Source organism: Homo sapiens, chromosome 14, assembly GCF_000001405.40.
Source record: "Homo sapiens chromosome 14, GRCh38.p14 Primary Assembly".
NCBI lineage: Eukaryota > Metazoa > Chordata > Mammalia > Primates > Hominidae > Homo > Homo sapiens.
In genome coordinates, this window is record NC_000014.9 from 38,560,976 (window position 1) to 38,584,135 (window position 23,160).

The following is a 23,160-nucleotide window of genomic DNA, read 5'->3' on the forward strand; positions in this document are numbered from 1 at the left end:
AACTAAAGGCTATTCCAGCATGCATAATCCACTTACAAGAAGAAAGTAGTGTGTAGAGATTCACATTTTGAACTTTTATCCAAGAAGGAACATGGGAGTTCAATGGAAAAGTCTAAGAAAATGTCAGGTCCTGGGAAAGAGACAGGTCTGGCTGAAAACTATGAGTGAATCCCTGGCACAAGAAAGGGTGAGTGTCTTTGAAGTCCACTTCCCCACTGGGGAATCATGCAATCCAGCCTATAGGAGAGCACCTTGATTCTTCCAAACCCTGGATCTAACTTAAGAAGAGGCCAGGAGCTATAGGAGGAGTGGCTCAGGGAAGTATCCTACAGACACTCCAAGACCTGGGCACCTATAGAAGGATATCATTCTTGATCCTATTTTAGAGCAAGCTGTCTGCAATCCTGGGAGCTAAAAGCAGTGGCAGCCATTGGCATCAGAGAGACATAGGCTATAGATTGGAGATCTGGGACTGGAGCAAAAAAGGGTCTCCTCTAGCCAGACCTGAGACGCAAATGTGGTGTGAGCTCCAGCTGCTGGTGTAGGAATTGGGCAGCCCCCCATCACGGGGTTAGAGCAGGGAGAGAGTTGCTGGGGAGGCATGGTTTTGACCCAGGCAGCAAGGTTTACAGCTTGGGACAGTTTTGTGCACTGGAAGCAAATTGCAGCAATAAACTAACTGTCCTGACTGGCTGCCACAGTCAAAACAAGGGAATGAACTCTGCCAGTTATGGGAGTCAGAGGAAAGCAGTACCCACTCCTGCTTGCTAGGCTGTGGTGCTAGGACTGCCCCTCCCTCCCCATGCTAAGACCTTGGTGCAGCAGCAGTTGCTCTGCTCCTTGCCCAGGCATTTCTCTAGCAGTCTGAGGACTGCTCCCTATCCCTGTCAGGGTCAGCACTTGTGCCTGCCACAGGGGGCCCAAGTGCAGGCTGGACCAGTCCAGCTTTTCCCAGCTTCACCCCCCACTCCAAGACAAAGCATGGAGAAAGACCACTGAGCATTTCATGGCCCATCCATCAAGAAAGACCACTGAGCATTTCACAGCCCATTCCATCACCAGGGACACCTGAACACTTCTACAAGTTAACAGAAGTCAGACATATATCCTACTGCTTCCATCACAGCTGGCTCTTACCTGCAAGTGTCATCTACTGATCTGTAGGTCCACCTGCACAGTCTGTTAAAACATCTGCTGGCACAGTATGCAGTGCTTAGGAAAAAGATAAGCTTCTTGTGGCCTCTGCTACCACCACCACCCAGGCCACCCTAGCTAGTCAGGAGGTCATGAGCTGTCTTACTTCCTTGGTACACCATACTATAACCAGCACTTGAGAAAGCCACCACACTAAAGGTATATAGAACCAAGAAATCATACAGGATTTTTGTCACTGAATGCACCAAGAAGCAAAGCCAAATGGCCCTACTCAAAATACATCACAGTCCCATCCTCAAGAAAAAAAGGTCCTTCCCCAATGAAAGTAAATTTAAAATAAGAAGCAGCAACAGTTTTTCCAGATGCACAGAAATCTAAATAAAGATACACAAAGCATGGCATGGTATTATGACAGCCACAAAGGAATAAAGTAATTCTCTAGCAATGAATCCTAACCAAAAAGAAATCCTCAAAATGCCATATAAGGAATTCAGAATATTGATTTTAAGGCAGGGTGTAGTGGCTCACACCTGTAATCCTAGTATTTAGGGAAGCCAAGGCAGGAGGATTGCTTGAGGCCATAAGTTCAAGGCCAGGCACAGTAATAGAGAGACCCTGTCTTTACAAAAAAAAAAAAAAATTAATTAGCCAGTCATGATGGTGCATGCCTGTAGGCCTAGCTCCTCAGGAGGCTGAAGTGGGAATATTGCTTGAGCCCAGGTGTTTGAGATTGCAGTGAGCTATAATCATGCCAATGCACTCTAGCCTTGGTAATAGAGTGAGACTCTGTCTCTAAAAACCAATACAGAGAAATTTTTTTAAAAAATGAATTCAGAATATGAATGAAAAATTTGCAAAGGAGATAGATATCTTTCCGTGTAAAGACAGAACATATAAAAATGAAAAATTAATTGAAGGAATTACAAAATATATTGAAAGCTTCAACAAAAGACTAGACCAAGCAAAAGAAAAAAATCTTATAACTTGAAAATAGGTCATTTGAGTTAACCCTGTCAGATAAAAATAAAGAAAATATAATTTTAAAAGAATAAGGCTTTCAAGATATATAGGAATACATAAAGGGACCAACTTTAGTAATCTAAACATTATTCCTGAGGAGGAGGAAAAAGAAAAAAGTTCAGAAAACATATTTAAGAAAATAATCAGCTGGGCGCAGTGGCTCACGCCTGTAATCCCAGCACTTTGGGAGGCCGAGACGGGTGAATCACATGGTTAGGAGGTCAAGACCATCCTGGCTAACACGGTGAAACCCCGTCTCTACTAAAAATACAAAAAAATTGGCCGGGCGTGGTGGTGGGTACCTGTAATCCCAGCTACTCAGGAGGCTGAGGCATGAGAATGGTGTGAACCCAGGAGGCGGAGCTTGCAGTGAGCTGAGATCGTGCCACTGCACTCCAGCCTAGGCAACAGAGCAAGACTCCATCTCAAAAAAAAAAAAGAATAAAATAAAGTAATCAACAAAAACTTTCCTAGCCTAGGAAGAAATTTAGACATTCAAATAGAGGAGGCTCAGCAATCCCCAGAAAATAAATTGCAAAATTGACTTCACCATGCCATATGGTCATTAGACTGTCTAAAGACAATATGAAGGAAAGCATTCTAAAGTCAGTAGGAAAGAAGCATTTAGTCACCTATAAAGGAAACCCCAAAAGAAGACTTCTCAGCAGAAACTTCACAAGCCAGAAAAGAATGGCGTGGGGTTTTCAAAGTGCTGAAACAAACAAACAACAACAACTAAAAAACCTGTAAATCAAGAATTTTATGTTCATCTAGATTAAGCTTTATAAATGAAGGACAAATAAAATCTTTCCCAGACAAGCAAACATTGAGATAATTCATCACCACTAGTCCAGTCCTACAAGAAATGCTCAAAGGAGTCCTAAACATGGAAAAGAAAGGTTGATATGTGCTATAATAAAAACACACAAAAATATAAAACTCAAAGTCGTATAAAACAATCACACAAAGGAGGAAGACAGAGGAATCAACTGGCAACATGAGAAAATTTTACCAAGGCACAAAGAAAAACAGAGAAAGAATTTAGAAAACAATTAGATAACAAGAATATGACAGCAAAAACAAAACTCACATATCAATATTAACCTTGAATGTAAATGGATTACATGCTTCATTTAAAAGATATATATTGACAGAATGAATTTTAAAAACATGAGCCAATAATATGCCACTTACAAGAAACTCACCTTATCTCTAGAGAGACATTTAGACTAAAAATAAAAAGACATTCTATGCAAACAGAAACCACAAGCAAGCAGCAGAGGTATACTTATGTCAGACAAAACAGACTTTAGATCACAAACAGTAAAAAAAAAATGATAAAGAAGTGTATTATATAATGATAAATGGATCAATTCAACAAGTAGATATAATAATACTAAATATATATGCACCCAACAGCTGGAGCACCCAGATTCATAAAACAAATATTACTAGACCTAATGAAAGCGATAGCTAGTAATACAATAATATTAAGGAACATCAACACCCCACTCACTGCACTAGACACTTTACTGAGACAGAAAATCAATGAAGAAACACTGGATTAAATTGGACTTTTGACCAAATAGACCTGACAGCCACTTACAGAACATGCTACCCAACAACTGCAGAATATACATTCTTTTCATCAGCCCATAGAATATTCTCCAAGATAGACAATATCTTAGGGCACAAAACAAGTCTCAAGAAATTTCTAAATATTGAAATCATATCGTCTCAAGAAATTTCTAAATATTGAAATCATATTCTAAATATCAAATCATATCAGACTATAGTGGAATAGAAGTATCAATACCAACAGGAACTCCAGAAACTACACAAATATATAGAAATAAACCAATATGCTCTTAAATAACCATTAGGTCAATAAAGAAATTAAGATGAAAATTTTTAAAATTTTTGAAATAAATGAAAATAGAAACACAATATACCAAAACCTTTGGGATGCAGCAAAAGTAGTGCTAAAGGCAGGTTTATAGTGTTAAATGCCTACATCAAAAAATAGAAGGTAGAATCTTCATTCCGAAGGCTACAGTGTATAAACATTATATAAATTTGTATGCCTTTTATTCTATTAAACAATCTGACTCATGTCGTTGATTTTTCAGTGAACCTTCAGAAGACCAAAAGGAAAGCTCTCTGTTGGCTCCCACAGTTACGGCACAGCAAGCAGGGTACCTCCAAAGCCATTCTGATCTTATGAAGGCCACAGTGAAGAGATCCCAGGATCCTAACAAGCCAGTAAAAGTTAAGAACTTATAAATCAGGCTCCTAGACTTACTCTGTGAAATCTGGTTGAATGGATGGTAAAAATGACTGTTTTGTCTCAAGGTTTTGATTAAAGGGAAAAAAGGATTTGTGTGACTAGTTTTGGGGTGTAGTGACTCTAGTGTGCTTTTGGTACTTTGTGGTATAAATATTCATATTGTTTGATTCCTTTCACTTCAGAAATAGCCTTTTTGTTGCTGTTTTCCTTGGCTTTGTCTTTCTGTGGTGTTCTGCATAAAGAGGGGAACCATACGCTAATACCCGGTCCTAGAATCCCTACAAGCCCACTGTTTGAGCTAGCCCTGTAAACTATTCAGTTTTAGTATTCTGACTACACCAGTGTCTGTTAAGACAAACATTGCTGTGGGCTCCTAAAATAAAAACCAGGCGAAAGTCTCCTCTCACCATATTTTATGTCCTTGAGAGCTTGACTGGTGACTAAGTGTGGATATTCTTTTTCTTGGTCTCTGCCATCCAGAGGGCATGATATTTCAGGTAACATCATGCAGATAGTCTGAAAAGATTGGGAGTCCAAAACACATTTTTCATACTGAACCAGCATATATCTCATATATATTGATTGATGTCTTATGTCTTCCTAAAACATATAAAACCAAGCTGTAACCCAACTATCTTAGGTACATGTTCTCAGGACCTTTTGAGACTGTGCCTCAGGCCATGGTCGCTTACACATGGCTCAGAGTAAATCTCTCCAAAAATATTACAGAGTTTGGCTTTTTCATCCACATCATAAATTAAATAACTAGCCCCAATACTTTTCAAGTTCATGAGACTTTAATAATCTTGGTAAATAAAACTAGTTTCAAAATTCTCTGTAGTAATTTAAAATATTAAGATCATGTTATGTTAAACTAAGTAATCCTAGGTTTTTCTCTGAAAATTAGAGGTTATTAAGAGTTAAAATAGTTGTATATGTAATTAAAACTACTAAATATAAGAGAACCAATTGATGTACAATGTATATAAGTAAATGTGTTTTTGGTAAAAAAATAAAATTATAAAACATATTGGAATGTGTGTTTGGTGAAAAGGAAACTAAACGCTCCTATTCAACATAGTACAAGAAGTCCTAGCCAAAGCAATCAGGCAAGAGAAAGAAACTTAAGACATCTAAATAGGAAAAGAGGAAAAATTATCTTTGTTTGCTGATGACATGGTCACACACTTAAAAAACCCTAAAGATTCCTTCAAAGGAATTCTAGACCTGATAAATGACTTTAGTAAAGTTTCAAGATACAAAATTAATGCACAAAAATTAGTTGCATTTCTCAACAATGCTCAAACTGAGAACCAAATCAAGAATTCAATCCCATTTACAATTGCCACACACATAAAATATCTAGCAGTAAATTTAACCAAGGCAGTGGAAGACCTCTAAAAGGAGCACTATAAAACACCAATGAAAGAAATTATAGATGATACAAACAAATGAAAAAATATCCCATTCTCCTGGATTGGAAGAATTAATATCATTAAAATAACTACACTGCCCAAAGCAAGCTACATATTCAACGTAATTCTTATCAAATTACCAATATCATTTTTCAAAGAATTAGAAAAAACAATTCTAAAATTCATATGGAACCAAAAAAAAAAAAGCCTGAATAGCCAAAGAAATCTAAAACAAAAAAGAAAAAAGCTTGAAGCATCACAGTATCCAACTTCAAACTACACCACACAGTTATAGTAGCCAAAGCAGCATTATACTTGTACAGAAATTGACCCATAAACCAATGGAACAGAGTAGAGGATCCAGAAATACAGCCAGACATCTACAACCAACTGGTCTTCAACAAAGTCAACAAAAATAAACAGGAGGAAAGGATATCCTATTCAATAAATGGTGCTAAGAAAACTAGCTAGCCATATGCAGAAGAATGGAATTGGACACCTACCTCTCACCATATATAAAAATTAACTCAAGATCAACTAAAGACTCAATCCATGTATGACCTCAAACTATAAAAATCCTAGAAGAAAACCTAGGAAAATCTCTTCTGGACGTTGGCCTAGGCAAAGAATTTATGACTAAGACCTCAAAAGCAAATGCAACAAAAACAAAAATAGACAAATGGGACTTCATTAAACTAAAGAGTTTCTACACAGCAAAAGAAATGATCAATGAAGTAAACAGACAACCTATGGAATGGGAGAAAATATTTGCAACCTATGCATCTGGCAAAGGACTAATATCCAGAATCTATAAACACTTAAATAAATCAACAAGATAAAAACAAATAATCCCATTAAAAAGTGAGCAAAGGACATGAACAGACACTTTTCAAAGGAAGGCATACAAGCAGCCAAGAAACATTTTTAAAAATGCTAAATATCACTATCAACAGAGAGATGCAAATTAAAACTGTAATGAGATACCATCTTCCACCAGTCAGAATGGCTTCCTGCTTTCTGAATCCTCCCTGTTACACTGCACAGATGTAGCCAAAGGTGCCAGTTTCTCTCAAATTTGGACTAAAACACTCATCATAGTTACAAATCTTTCCTCCAATCTGGTGCTGGGAATGATATGCACCATCAATCTCCTCTTCTCTCTAGGGCTTGCCAAAGATCAAAAAAAAAAAAACTTATAACTGTAAATTACTCTCAGTGTTGACACATTCTGAAACTGTCTGTGTGCATCAGGAAAGAAGGAAAGCTCAGTTGCTTCTAAGAAAAAAAAATGCATGTTTTTCATGCTCAGGGCCTTCCTCCTGAAAATCAAATTGGAAAACACCATTTCGAAAGGCACATTCAAAGACGGGAACAATCTGTGAAAGGAAAAATAGCTACTAGAAGCAAGTAAAAATTCTATGCTTTGGATCTTTGAAAACAAGATAAAAGCACTTTTCAAAGCAACAAAATCTGAGGAACTCAGAAAAAATTGAAGTCAGTTATGATTCTGATTTGTCAACACTCTTCTTATAAGAGGAAGCTGGAGTTAATTTTTTAAATATTGCCTTTGCCCATTATATAGGAAGAAGGGTTTGAGTTTTTTCTTCCGTAATGTGCCTATAGAAGCTATATTGCAAGCAAGATCCCATTGTCTATAGAATAAAGGCCAAAATCCTTGGTACAGTTTACAAAGCTCTTCATGATCTGGCCATTGCCCAGCTTTCTGGCCATATCTACCCCCATAACCCCATATGCATCTTTTGCTCCAGCTGTACTGCATATTAGCAATTTTTCAGATTTTCCATATTCAGGTCTCTGCACATATGTTTCTTGCTATTTTTGGAATGCTCACCTCTCCCACTCCACTGTCTAGCTAACATCATTTTTCCTCCAAAACTCACTGTAAGTGTCATCTACTAGAAATTTTCCCTGAATCCTATAGGATGAAGCAAGTCTACCTCTCTTCTTAATGTTTTCTGTACTGTCTATGTTAATGCATACACTCAGTAAACTTAAAGCCAGAAAGTCACCTAATGGCACAGTGATTTTAATCTATTATCCCTGAATGTACTGAATAGACTGAATCTACAGAAGGATTTTTTAAAACTACCTACAGCAGGTGTTTGGCAAATATGAATATCCAAGAATAGTTTTATAAAGAACATATAATACCAAGAACGTTAAAAATTAATTATTATATATTTTAAATTATACTGAGGTTTATATTCTTCCATATGTCTTTGAATCAATTCATTTTATTTATTTATAATCATTGATTTATAAGTACACAGCAACTTCATACCCTTGAAAATATTATTTTCTAGTTTAAACTCTTATAGCTTACAGAAAATATAACCCAACATTTAAATGCATCTAGTAGTGAATCAAATTTATTAAAGCAATCATAATCTTATGTATGCTTGTACACTGTACTTTGTTAAATAAGGCATCTCTTGAACAATCAATTACATGTGGATCATCACAAAAAGCTGCTGGAATGGTGGGAGTTCATTAAAATGAACAAAATTCCTGTCTGAAATGTGTTTTAAGCAGGGGTTTAGAAGATAGAGGGAATATGCTTTTCTTACGGACAGGAGTGATAAATACTGCAAAATAGTGTATCAGTATGATTATTTGCAAGTAAATATTGGTGAATTGTATATGGCAGTGAATTCTGCTTTGCTGAAGAAATATAAATAATTTTGTTAATTTCTACTATATCATTTCTACTACACAGTAGAAATTATAAACTAGTAGATAGTAGTAGAGGAATACAAATTTAGGGTTGGAGGGAATAGTATGTGAGCTTGGAGTGGAAGGTGGGGATGAGACAGAGATCCTAGGTGACAATCGAAGAAGTTTTGGGGATAAGAGTAAAGCTCTATTTGATCGAATTAAGCAATTGGAAGTCACCTCAGCTTCTAAGAAAAAAAATGATACTATCAAAAGAAAGATTATTATAACTATGAGAAGCATGAAGGATAAGGAGGTAGGTAGGCAAGAGATTGTTTAGGAACAAAGCTTTGGAGGAGGAGGGAAGAAGAAAGAGAAGATCTGTGAAATATTTCCATAAGAAATATTCCATGGAATAATCAAGGATTATTCCATGGTTGCATTCAGGAGGCTCAGAATTCTAGTGACCAGCAACAATAAAAATGGTTAAAGGTTTGAAGAGGACCCAAGATGTAGGGCAGATTCAATATTGAAACATGTCAATCTTTCTTAGAATATAATATAAATTTATTTTAGATCAAATAAAATCCCAAAGGAAATTTGGAAAGGGGGTGTAGGGGAGCAGAGTTGATAAGACAAAGTGGTTCTAATAGTCAGCTGGAATAATAAATTGGCAAAAAATTGTCAACAACACAACTTTAAGGAATAATGAGAGGAAAGTTTATTTTCTAACTATTAGAGGTTTTTATAATGTTAAAACAATAAGTTAAAAAAGTAATGTGATATCTGTTACAAGAATTGGTATATATAATTATATAAAAGAATAGAAAGCCTAGAAGAATCAACTGTATATGTAAAAATACAGTGTTCTATTAAGTGGTATTTCAAACAAATAGAGAGAAATAAAGTATTCAGTAACTAGGGCTAGAATAATTGGTTAACTATTTTAAAATAAAAAGATTTCTCCTTCATATCATATGCCAAAATAAATGTGTTAGATTAAAAGGCTAAATGTAAAACACACACACACACTCAGACACACACATGAACAAAAGAAAATATAGGTAAAATTATTTTTGTTTTAAAAAGAGAGACAACAAAACTGACAAACTTCTAGCTAGACTGACCAAAAAGAGAGGATTCAAATTACAAAAATTAGAACAGAAAGAGGGAACATTACTACCAACCTATAAAAATAAAAAGGATTATAAAGGAATTATATGAACAATTGTATGCCAATAAATTAGATTAAATGTTCAGTTTCCTAGAAAGACACAAATTATCTAAACTGACTCAAGAAAAAAATAGACAATCAGAATAGATCTATAATAAATAAAAAGATGGAATTAGTAATCAAATTGTTACCTACAAATAAAAACTCAGATCCAGATTGCTTTACTGATGAACTCTAACAAGCATTTAAAGAAGAATAAATACAAATTCTCACAAACTCTCCCACCCAAAAATAAAAAAGGGAGACTACTTCCTAACACATTCTATAAGGCCAGTCATCTGGTCATCTAATAGAAGTAGAAAAAGCATTTGATAAAATCCAACACTCTTCTAATGATAGAAACATTTAACAAGCTATAAATAGAAGGAAACTTCTGCAACCTGGTATATTAGAAAATCCACAATTAACATACTTAATGGTGAAAGGCGGATTGCATTCCCCTTAAGATTAAGAACAAAATAAGGATGCTCGTTCTCACTTCTTCTATTTAACATTATACTAGGGGTTCTAGAAATGGCAATTAGGCAAGCAAAAGAAATAGATGTTATCCAGGTTGGAAAGGAAGAAGTAAAACTGTCTGTATTCATAGGTGATTTAATCTGGCATATAGAAAATCCTAAGGAATCTACAAAAAAAAAAAGAAAGATAAAAACTGTGTATTAGAACTAGCTAATGAGTTCAGCAAGGTGGCAAGATATAAGACCAATATACAAAAATCAATCATATTTCTATACACTTGGAATTAATAACCTAACAATTAAGAAAATAACCCCATGACACAAAAAAGAACAAAATGCTTAGAAATAAATTTAACAAAAGATGTGCCAAATTTATACTGTGAAATCTCCAAAATGTTGTTGAAAGAAATTAAGGAAGATCTAAATTAATAGAAAATCATCTCATGTTCATAAATCAGAAATTTAATACTTTTAAGATGGCAGCGCTCCCCAAATTGATCTACAGCTTCAATGAATCCCTATTAAATTGATTCAACTGACTTCTTTGTAGGAATTGACAAGTTGATTCTAATATTCATATGGAATTTTAAGGGATCCAAAATAGCCAGAACAATCTTGGAAAAGCTAAAGTGGGAGGACTCACATTTCCCAATTTCAAAACTTAGTAAAAAGCTACAATAATCATGAATAAGAGTGTGGTACTGACATAAGGATAGACATATAGATCAATTGAATCAAATTCAAAGCCCGAAAATAAACTCAAGTGTCTATGGTCAATTGATTTTCCGCTAGGGTGCCATGATCATTCAACAGGGAAAGAACAGTCTTTTAAACTAATGGTGCTGGGACAAGTGGATAGGTATCTACTTGTGAAAGAATGAAGTTGAATCCTTACCTCACACCTCTTATACCAATTAACTAAAAATGCATCAAAGAAACAAAATGTAAGACCTAAAACTATAAAACCATTTTTATCATTTTATTATTTATTAAGAACTTTGATTAGTTTACATTAAGTGCAATGTTTGCATTAAGCTTTTTGGACAATATTCTTTTTTGGTTTTTAAATATTTTATTTTTTTATTTCAATAGGTTTTTGGGGAACAGGTGGTGTTTGGCTACATGAATAAGTTCCTTAGTGGTGATTTCTGAGATTTGGGTGCACCCATCACTTAGGCAGTGTTCACTGTACCCAATGTGTAGTCTTTTATCCCTCGCCACCCTCCACCCTTTCCTCTGAGTCCCCAAAGTTTAATGTATCATTCTTACACCTTTATGTCTCATAGCTTAGCTCCCACATAAGAGTGGAAACATACAATGTTTGGTTTTCCATTCTTGAGTTACTTCACTTAGAATAATTGTCTCCAATTCCATCCAGGTTGCTGCAAATGCCATTATTTCATTCCTTTGATGGTTGAGTAGTATTCCATGGCATACATATATACCACATTTTCATGGTATACATATATACCACATTTTCTTTATCTACTCATTGATTGATGGGTATTTGTGCTGGTTCCATATTTTGCAATTACAAATTTTGCTGCTATAAACATGCATGTGCAAGTATCTTTTTACTATAATAACTTATTTTCCTCTGGGTAAATCCCTAGTAGTGAGATTGATGGATCAAACAGTAGATCTCCTTTTAGTTATTTAACATAGTGGTTGTACTAGTTTACATTCCCACCAACAGTGTAAAAGTGTTCCCTTTTTACTGCATCCATACCAACATCTATTATTTTCTGATTTTTTTATTATGGCCATTTTGTAGGAGTGAGGTGGTATTGCATTGTAGTTTTGATTTGCATTTCCCTGATAGTGATGTTGAGCATTTTTTCATATGCTTGTTGGCCACTTGTATATCTTCTTTTGAGAATTGTCTACTTAGGTCCTTAGCCCACTTTTTGACTGAATTGTTTTTTTCTTGATGATTTGTTTGAGTTATTTGTAGATTCTGGATGTCAGTCCTTTGTCAGATACATAGATTGTGAAGATTTTCTCCCACTTTGTGGATTGTCTGTTAACTCTGCTGATTATTTCTTTTGCTGTACAGAAGCTTTTTAATTTAATTAAGACCCACCTATTTATCTTTGTTTTTGTTGCCTTTGCTTTTGGGTTCTTGGTCATGAAGTCTTTGCCTAAGCTAATGTCTAGAAGGGTTTTCCAATGTTATCTTCTAAAATCTTTATGGTTTCAGGTCTTAGATTTAAGTCTTTGATCCATCTTGAGTTAATTTTTGTATAAAATGAGAGATGAGAATCCAGTTTCATTCCTTTACCTGTGGCTAGCCAATTATCCCAGCACAATTTGTTGAATAGGGTGCCCTTTCTCCACTTTGTTTTTGTTTACTTTCTCAAAGATCAGTTGGCTGTAAGTATTTGGCTTTATTTCTGGGTTCTCTATTCTGTTCCATTGGTCTATGTGTCTATTCTTAAACTAGTACCATGCTGTTTTGATGACTATAGCCTTATAGTTTAGTTTGAAGTCCAGTAATGTAATGCCTTCAGGTTTGTTCTTTTTGCTTAGCCTTGCTTTGGCTATGTGGGCTCTTTTATGGTTCCATATGTTTTTTCTAGTTCTGTGAAGAATGATGGTGGTATTTTTATGGGAATTGCATTGAATTTGTAGATTGCTTTTGGCAGTATGGTCATTTTCACAATATTAATTCTACCTATCCATGAGCATGGGATGCGTTTCTATTTGTTGGTGTCATCTATAATTTCTTTCAGCAGTGTTCTATAATTTTCCTTGTAGAGGTCTTTCACGTTCTTGGTTAGATATATATATATATATATATCTTGCAGCTATTGTGAAAGGGGTTATTGATTTTATTCTCGGCTTGGTCGGTATTGGTGTATAACAGAGCCACAGATTTGTGTACATTAATTTTGTATCCTGAAACTTTGCTGAATTCATTTACTAGTTGTAGGAGCTTTCTGGGGGAGTCTTTAGGGTTTTTTAGGTATACTCTCATATCATCAGCAAACAGCAACAGTTTGACTTTTTTGGCTGCCCTTTATTTCTTTCTCTTGTCTGATGTTCTGGCTAGGACTTCCAGTACTATGTTGAATAGAAGTGGTGAAAGTGGGCATCCTTGTATTGTTCCAGTTCTCAGGGGGAATGCCTTCAACTTTTCCTCATTCAGTTGGCTGTGGGTTTGTCATAGATGGCTATAATTACTTTAAGGTATGTCCCTTCTATGCCAGTTTTGCTAAGGGTTTTAATCATAAAGGGATGCTGGGTTTTGTCAAATGCTTTTTCTGCATCTATTGAGATGATCATGTGATTTTTGTTTTTGATTCTCTTTATGTGGTGTATCACATTTACTGACTTACATATGTTAAACCATCCCTGCATCCCTGGTATGAAACCCACTTGATCATGGTGTTTTGCCTTTTTGAAATGTTGTTGGATTTGGTTCACTAGTATTTTATTGAGGACTTTTGCATCTATTGGTCTCCAATTTTCTATTTTTGTTATATCTTTCCCTGGTTTTGGTATTAAAGTGATACTGGCTTCATGGAAAAATTTAAGGAGGAGTCCCTCTTTATCTTTTGGAATAGTGTTAATAGAATTGGTACCAATTCTTCTTTGAATGTCTGATAGAATTTAGCTGTGAATCCATCTGGTCCTGGATTTTTTTTGGTTGGCATTTTTTTTAATTACCATTTCAATCTTGCTGCTTGTTATTGGTCAGTTCAGACATTCTATATCTTCCTAGGAGGGTTGTATATCTCCAGGAATTTATTCATCTCTGCTAGGTTTTCTAGTTAATGCACATAAAGGTGTTCATAGCTTATATTTCTGTGGTATCAGTTGCAATATATCCCATTTTGTTTCTAACTGAGCTTATTTGGAACTTTTCTTTTCTTGGTTTATCTCACTAAATGTCTATCAATTTTATTTATCTTTTTAAATAATCAGCTTTTTGTTTCATTTATCCTTTGTAGTTTCTTGTTGTTTCAATTTCATTTAGGTCTACTCTGATCTTTGTTATTTCTTCTCTTCTGCTGGGATTGGGTTTGGATTGTGTTGTTTCTCCAGTTCCATGGACTGTGACATTAGAATGTCTACTTGTACTCTTTCAAACTTTTTGATGTAGGCATTTAATGCTATGAACTTTCCTCTTAGCACCACTTTTGCTGTATCCTAGATGTTTTGATAGGTTATGTCACTATTATCTTTCAGTTCAAAGAATTTTCTAATTTCCATCTTGATTTCATTGTTGACCCAAAAATGATTCAGGAGCAGGTTATTTAATTTCCATGTATTTGCATGGCTTTGAGGGCTCCTTCTGGAGTTGATTTCCAATTTTATTCCACTGTGGTCTGAGAGAGTACTTGATATAATTTTGATTTTCTTAAATTTACTGAGACTTGTTTTGTGGCCTATCATATGGTCTATCTTGGAGAATGTTACATGTGCTGATGAATAAAATGTATATTCTGAAGTTATTGGGGAGAATGCTCTGTAAATATCTGTTAAGTCCATTTGTTGTAGAGTATATTTTAAGTCCATTGTTTCTTTGTTTAATTTCTTAGTGACCTGTCTAGTGCTGTCTGTGGAGTATTGAAGTTCCCAACTATTGTTTCGTTGCTGTCTATCTCATTTCTTAGTCTAGTAGTAATTGGTTTATAAATTTGGGAGCTCCAGTGTTAGCTGCATATATATTTAGAATTGTGATATATTCCTGTTGGACTAGTATTTTTATCATTATATAAGATCCCTTTTTGTCTCTTTTAACTGCTGTTGCTTTAAAGTTTGTTTTGTCTGATAGAAGAATAGCTACTTCTGCTCACTTTTGGTGTCCATTTGCATGGAATATCTTTTCCCACCCCTTTACCTTAAGTTTATGTGAGTCGCTATGTGTTATGTGCGAGGTGAGTCTCCTGAAGACAGCAGAAACTTGATTGGTGAATTCCGTTTTTTTTTTTGTTTTTGTTTTTTGTTTTTTTGTTTTTTGTTTTTGAGATGGAGTTTTGCTCTTGTTGCCCAGGCTGGAGTGCAATGGTGTGACTTTGGCTCACTGCAACCTCCTCTTCCCTGGTTGAAGCAATTCTCCTGCTTCAGCCTCCCACGTTGCTGGGATTACAGGCATGAGCCACTATGCTTGGCCAATTTTGTATTTTTAGTAGAGACAGGGTTTCCCATGTTGGCCATGCTGCTTTCAAACCCCTGACCTCAGGTGATCCACCCACCTCAGCCTCAAAGTGTTGGGATTACAGGTGTGAGCCACCATGCCTGGCCAATTGGTAAATCCTTATCCATTCTGCCATTCTGTATCTTTTAAGTAGAGCATTTAGGCCATTTACATTCGATGTTAGTATTGAGATGTTAAGTACTCTTCTATTCATCATGTTGTTTGTTGCCTGAATACCTTGTTGTTGTTGTTTTTATTGTGTTATTGTTATATAGGTCCTGTGAGATTTATGCTTTAAGGAGTTCTATTTTGGTGTATTTTGAAGATTTGTTTCAAGGTTTAGAGCTCCCTTTAGCAGTTCTTGTAGTGCTGGCTTAGTAGTGGTGAATTCTGTCCGCATTTATTTGTCTGGAAATGACTGTATCTTTCCTTCATTTATGAAGCTTAGTTTCACTGGGTACAAAATTCTTGGCCAATAATTGTTTTGTTTAAGGAAGCTAAAAATAGTATCCCAATCCCCTCTGGCTTGTAGAGCTCCTGCTGAGAAATCTGCTGTTAATCTGATAGGTTTTCCTTTATAAGTTAACTAGTGCTTTTGCCTCACAGCTCTTATTTCCTTCATCTTGACTTCAGATAACCTGACGACAATGTGCCTAGGCAATGATCTTTTTGCGATGAATTTCCCAGGTGTTCTTTGAGTTTCTTGTATTTGATTGTCTAGATCTCTATCAAGGCCAGGGAAGTTTTCCTCAATTATTCTCTCAAATATGTTTTCCAAACTTTTAGATTTCTTTCTTCCTCAGGAACACCTGTTATTCTTAGGTTTGAATGTTTAACATAATCCCAAACTTCTTGGAGGCTTTGTTCATTTTTTTAAATTCTCTTTGTCTTTGATGGATTAATTCAAAAGCCTTGCTTTGACCTCTGAGGTTCTTCTGCTTGTTCAATTCTATGCTGAGACTTTGCAGTGCATTTTGCATTTCTGCATTTCTGCATTTCTCTAAGTGTGTTCTTGATTTCCAAAAGTTGTCTTCTTTTTTATTCATACTGTCTATTTCACTGAAGAATTTTCCTTTCATATCCTGTATTGTTTTTTATTTCTTTAAGTTGGACTTTACCTTTCTCTGATGCCTCCTTGATTAGCTTAATAATCTACCCTCTGAATTCTTTTTCTGGCAATTCAGAGATTTTTGTCTTAGTTTAGATTCATTACTGGTGAGCTGATATGATCTCTTGAGGGTGTTCAGTAACTTTGTTTTGTCATGTTACCAAAATTGTTTTTCTGGTTCACTCTCATTTGGGTAGACTATGTCAGAGGAAAGATCTGGGACTCAAGGGCTGCTGTTCAGATTCTTTTGTCCCAAGAGGTGCTCCCTTGATGTGATGTTCTCTCCATTCCCCTATGAATGGGGCTTCCTGGGAGCCAAACTGTAGAAATTATTTTTGCTCTTCTGGGTCTAGCCACCCAACAGAGCTACTGGGCTCCAGGCTGGTACTAGGGAGTGTCTACAAAGAGTCCTATGATATTATCTATCTTCAGGTATTGCAGCCATGGATACCAGCACCTGCTCTAGTGGAGGTAGCAGGGGAGTGAAGTAAACTCTGAGGGTCTTTGATTTTGTTTTTGTTTTGATTTTGTTTTGTTTTAGGATTTGTTTTTGATTTTGATTTTGCTGGTTTTGTGTTGGTTGGCCTCTAGTCAGGAAGTGGCACTTTCAAGAATGCTTCAGCTGTGGCCCTATAGGGAGGATACAAACTTGACCCAGGGAGGACACCTGGTTAACTATTCAGGTTCCTCAGGTGGTGGGCAGGGCCACAGAGCTCCAAACAGATTATGACCTCTGTCTTCAGCTACCAAGGCAGGTAGAGAAAAATTACCAGGTTTGGGCAGGGGTAGGTGTGTCTGAGCTCAGTTTGTCCTTTAGCAGGGCTTGCTGCAGCTGCAGCTGCTGTGAAGGATAGTGGGTGTGGTATGCAGTCCAATGGAGTTATATTCCCAGGGGGTTTATGGCTGCCTCTGCTGAGTCATATAAGTCACCAGGGAAATTGGGGAAAGCCTGCAGTCACAGGCCTCACCCCACACCCATGCAGCTCACAGTCCCAAAGGCCAGTCTCACTTCTACCATGCCCCCCATAGCACGGAGTCTATTTCCAGGCAGCCAGTGACCAGGGCTGAGAACTTTTTCCAGACCGCAAGCCTCCTGCTGAGAAAGCAAGCCGACTCATGGGTTTTCAGTGTCTCAGGGAGCTTGCAGAAGTGATCCAGTTCCTTCAAAGGGTCTGCGGATTCTCTTGGCTTTTCTGGTATGTTCCTGCAGCAGTTCTTGGAGAAAAAGTTCACGATGTGAGTTTCCACACACTACTCTGTTCATCCAAACAGGAGCTAAAAGCTAGTGCTGCCTCTTATCCACCATCTTAATTCTTTTTGAATTAAGAACATTCTTTTGTGTTGGCATTTTGCTATGGGTTATTTTTTTCCACAGATGGATATTGCATTTATTAAATGTTTTCTTCTTCTTCTTTTTTTTTTTTTTTTTTGAGACAGCATCTCGCTCTTTCACTCAGGCTAGAGTGCAGTGGCATAATCTTGGCTGACTGCAACCTCTGCCTCTTGGGTTTAAGAGATTCTCCTCCCTCAGCCTCTTGAGTAGCTGGGACTACAGGTGCCCACCACCACACCTGGCTAATTTTTGTATTTCTAGTAGAGATGGGGTTTCACTATGTTGGCCAGGATGGTATCAAACTCCTGGCCTCAAGTGATTCACCCTTCTCGGCCTCACAATATTCTGGGATTACAGGCATGAACCACCACACCCAGTCTTATCAAATGTTTTCACCACATCTGTTGATATATATGCTTTTAAGATTATAGCACCCCCTCTAAGAACAGCACTAATCTACAAGTTTGACGTGTCCTATTTTGTTTTCTTTCTTTTGTGATTTCCAACTTTTATTTTAAGTTCAGCAGCACTTGCACATATAAAACTACTACAAGAAAATATACGGGTAAATCTTCATCGCTTTGGATTTGGCAATGGTTTCTTCAATGCGACACCAAAAGCACAAGCAACAAAAGAAAAATAAATTGAACTTTATCAAAATTAAAATAATTAATGCATGTATCTCTATATAAAAAGTGAAAAACCCCAAAGAATGGAAGAAAATTTTTGCAAATCACATATCTAACAAGGGTTTAGTACACAAAAAGTATAAAGAGTTCTTTAACTCAACAACAAAAATATCCTATTCAAAATGGGCAAAGAACTTGAGTGGGCATTTTTCCAAAGAAGCTATACAAATGACCAACAAGCACATGAAAAAATGCTCAATATTACTTGTCAATAGGGAAAAAACAAACAAAACCACAACGAGTTATCACTTCACACCCATTAGGGTCGCTATAATTTTTTTAAAGCCATTGAACTGTATACTTTAAATGGGTGAATTGCATGGTATATTAATAATATTTTAATAAAATTAAGGAAAAGACAGGAGGTAGGGGGAGAGATCACTTGAAGAATATACATCAAAATGTTTAACAACAGTGAGATTGTGAGTGAGAAAATTTAGTTTCCAAATGGCCAGTGGCTCACATTAAGTTGTCATGTGAACTTAAAGAAATAAGCATTAAAAATCACTCAATTTCTGGTCAAAACAGGAGTAAAAGAGACCAAATTTACCCTCCTTCCTGTGGTTCCAAAAAATAAATAAATAAAAGAATTAAAAAAAAAACTTTTTCAAGACACTGTACATCAGACAACAAAGGACAATGATCTTTGAGAGACAGAAACCCAACAAGGTAAGTGAAAATGTGCCTCAGCTTACTATTTTAAATTCCCAAGCCATGCTGCAGGGAGAAGAAAAGCAGGAAGTACCCAGCAGATCTCCTGAGTTGAGGAAACCAAGGTTGCTAGAATTCTCAGGACAGCATACCAGAGAGGAGAAAACTGTGTAGAACAGGAGTGCCTGAGACCCGCAGAGTTCTCCTCAGGTTTTCAGTTGATTACTGATCAACACATATTCTTTAAGAAATTACCTAAGGCTGAGGAAAGATCCACCCAAAAGAATTAGAGCTAGTGATACTTGGTTTTCCCAGGAGTCCAGGAATAGTGCCTGTTGCCACCAGCCAGACTTGGAAAATTTAAGATTCATAGGGCTTGGATAGAAAACACATAAGAGCCTTGCTTCAGTACTGGGGGATAATTAGCCCTAAACTGAGCACTGCCCTGGTCCGACCCGCCAAAACTTAAAAGTAAGAATATCCACAATAAACAAAAAACTCAGAACTCAGTAAGAAACAAACAACTCAATTAAAAATGGGGAAAAAAGTGAACACACTTCAACAAAAATTATGCAAAGGACAAATAAACATATGAAAAGATACTGAACATCATATGTCATTAAAAAAAATAAATAATTAAAACTCCAATGAGATACTACTTTACATCCACTAGGATTACTAAAATTTAAAAGACTGGCCATACCATTTGTTGCTAAGGATGTGGAAGAACTGGAACTCTCATGCACTACTGGTTGGAATGTAAAACGGTATGATGACTTTGGAAAACAACGTTATTGTTGCTTATAAGTTAAACAGACATCTACCATATAATCCAGATATCTACCAATTTCCTCTAGAGTATTTCCTCAAGTATTTACCTATGATAAAGAATATGCCCAAAGACTTTTGTAGGAATATTCACAGCAGCTTTGTTATATACAAAAACTGGAAGCTTGCAAATGTCTAAGTGGTATATTCTATAATGGAATAATGGAAATATAAACAAGTAACTATGGATACATGCAAAAACACAGATGAATCTCATAATAATATGCCTAGTAACAGCAGCCATATGCCTCCCCACAAAAGTTCACATACTGTATGATCACATTTATATAAAATTATATAGTATGCTAACTAAACTATAGCAACAGAAAGTAATCAGTTGTTACCTGGGCATGGCACAGAAGGAAGACGAGAAGAAGAAGACAGAGTTTATATAAAGGGCATGAGGAAATGTTAAATAAATGGTTATGTTCATTATTGTAATTTTGGTGATAATTTCATAGATGTATACAAAAGTCAAAACTTTTTCAGTTGTATAGATTAAATATGTACAGTTTATATACATCACTTATACATTAAGCCATATGAAAAAGGGGTCACTCCAAGGAAAATTTCATAATTTTCTGTGATATAACAAAGTTCATATTTCATATTTCATACCACACATTTTTTTCTGGTTTTTTCATAAATGAGAAATAATTTTTTCCTGCAAGGCTCTTTTTATACTCCATGATTCTTTCAATGTTTCCAACCTTATGAACAAAATGCTTTCAGTGAATACACAGACTATGTATGTTATTACAGCTATTCCTGCAGCTCATTCTAAGTTTTCATTTGTTTTGTAAGTATATTTGTAAATATATAAATATAAAAATATTTTATCTGAATTATATGCACACTGTAATAGTATTATCATAGTGACCTTAAGTTTTGAAATGAAATACCTTTTCTTATATGAATGAGCTTGACATATCTGACTAGTAATAGGTTGAAAAATCATATACCATATCTTTGCATTGGCTACATAATTAGATGTCTACATAGTATGTATATTCAAAATAGAATCTAGGTTTATTCCCAGCTTTGGCCAGGTAAGCCAAAAATAATTTGGTGCTGATGATATAAAAGTTTAACAAAATTGCAAACAGTCTTAAAAAGCAAATTGAGGTCTATTGAAACAATCCTTCACTATAGAAATCCAATAGCCAGGATTTTCTTTGGAATGCTAATGCAGCTGTTATTCATTGTAGGAATGTAGGACACACATTCAGGGCTGTATTTTTTAATAATAAGCAAGAGGATTTATGTTTCCTGCTGTAATCAGTAAATACAGCAAATCGACATTCTATGTTGAACTTTTTACTCCTCATTTCCACCTTCTTTTGTCTCCTCTTTCCCCCAAAAAGCAAAACATAGAAACAAACAAAAGCAAAACAGCATATAATAATCTCTTTATATTTTCTCAATACTCTTGTGGGGGCCAATGGTCTTGCTAAAGTTGCTGAAAAATCAGACATGAGGACAACTGATTAATAGGAGAAAAGGCATACAAAGTTATTTAACTTGTATCCACAGGAGTCTTCAGAATGAAGACTCAAACCCCAGTGAACACCATCTTGAGGTTATAGAAAGAATGGGGGCCCAGCTGTGCATTGTGGCTCACGTCTGTAATCCCAGTGCTTTGGGAGGCCAAAGCGGGCGGATCACCTGAGGTCAGGAGTTTGAGACCAGCCTGGCCAACCTGGTGAGACTCCATCTCTACTAAAAATACAAAAATTATCCAGGCATGGTGGTGGGCGCCTGTAATCCCAGCTACTCAGAAGGCTGAGACAGGAGAATCGCTTGAACCCAGGAGGCGGAGGTTGCAGTGAGCTGAGATCATGCCACCGCACTCCAGCCTGAGTGACAGAACGAGACTCCATCTCAAAAAAGAAGAGGAGAGAGAGAGGAGAGGGGCGAAAAGAGAGTGGAGAGAGGACAAGCCGTCCATGTTAGGTAGATGAAGCCTCCTAGGCAGTAGCCATCAGAAAGAATAGATGGGAAATGTTTCTTTTTAGACTTTTTAAGGTGTCAGATTCTTAATTAATTTAAACTAGATCCAGGAAAAGCCTAGAAAGAGAAGTCATGGCTGCATTTACGGAGATTCTCTAAGATGCAAATTTCCCCCACAGAAGGCAGCTTTTGGGGGCCATTTCAGTGGGCTAGCCCTGTGGCAGCTATTTCATATGTCAAAAAATATATTTTGAGGTAAAATATTTTGATTTCCTTCACACTGGTGACAAATATTCTAGCAGGGCAGTAGGAAAGACTCTGACTTGAATAACTGTGAGGCTCTATATTTATGGGCCAGTTTATGGTTTTGTAAACCAAAAATAAAATTCTAAGCCCCGCAACTGATTGAATAGATCCCCCTCTATCTATTGAATAGATCCCAATGAGACCCCAAAGAAACCTAAAAAACTGAATTCCTGGTCTTGATGGGCAAATCAGACACGCCTCATTATACCCCCTCCCTTTTGGAGTTTAGGCACAACTGACTGGCATTAAGATTAAAACAGAGATCTCAAGACTGAAAAAACAGACTCTTTGTGGCAATAAGATACCAGATTATAAACAAAACCTAAGGCTATGCAGGGCAAGAGTTAAGTCACATCCTACAAACCATAAAATCTCATTAAACAGGGTTTACTTTTTAATTAAATGTGTATCGTATGGCTTATTTTATGACCTGACTCTGGTATCACATCACATGACAGCAGACTCTGAAGGAAATAAAAACATTTTACTGCAAAGTACATTTTTGACATATTTTGAAATAGCCCTGCAAAGCCATGTTTTGTGGTGGACACTTTCATCTGTGGAGACTCTTCACTAATGCAGGCAGGCCTTCCCTTTCTAGGCCTTTCCTGGATCTAGGAGAGATTAACTGAGAGTCTGACACCTCTAAGGTCTGAAAATAGACACTTTCCAATCTAGTCTCTCTGAAGGCAGCTAGGTAGGAGACTTCATCTACACAACAAATGCTTTGGCCCCTACAACCCTCTTATCTTAACCCAAGCATTTCTTTCTACTGACTTCAAGTCTTTAGACAATAGCTTAACTCTATCAACCTATTGTCAACTAAAGAATCCCTAAAGCCCACATATGACTTGTAAGGACCCTCTTTAAGATGCCATGCCTTTTGGGGATAAACCAATATATACCTTCC

At 36.3% G+C, this 23,160-nt stretch overlaps 1 annotated feature.

Annotated features, from left to right (window-relative positions):
- Nucleotides 15,209-15,710: an enhancer, noted in NCBI's record as "NANOG hESC enhancer chr14:39045388-39045889 (GRCh37/hg19 assembly coordinates)". NCBI's record gives its function as "activates a minimal SCP1, AML or CMV promoter by ChIP-STARR-seq in naive H9 embryonic stem cells {active_cell/tissue: H9 hESC(naive)}" and the evidence as "EXISTENCE:reporter gene assay evidence [ECO:0000049][PMID:30033119]".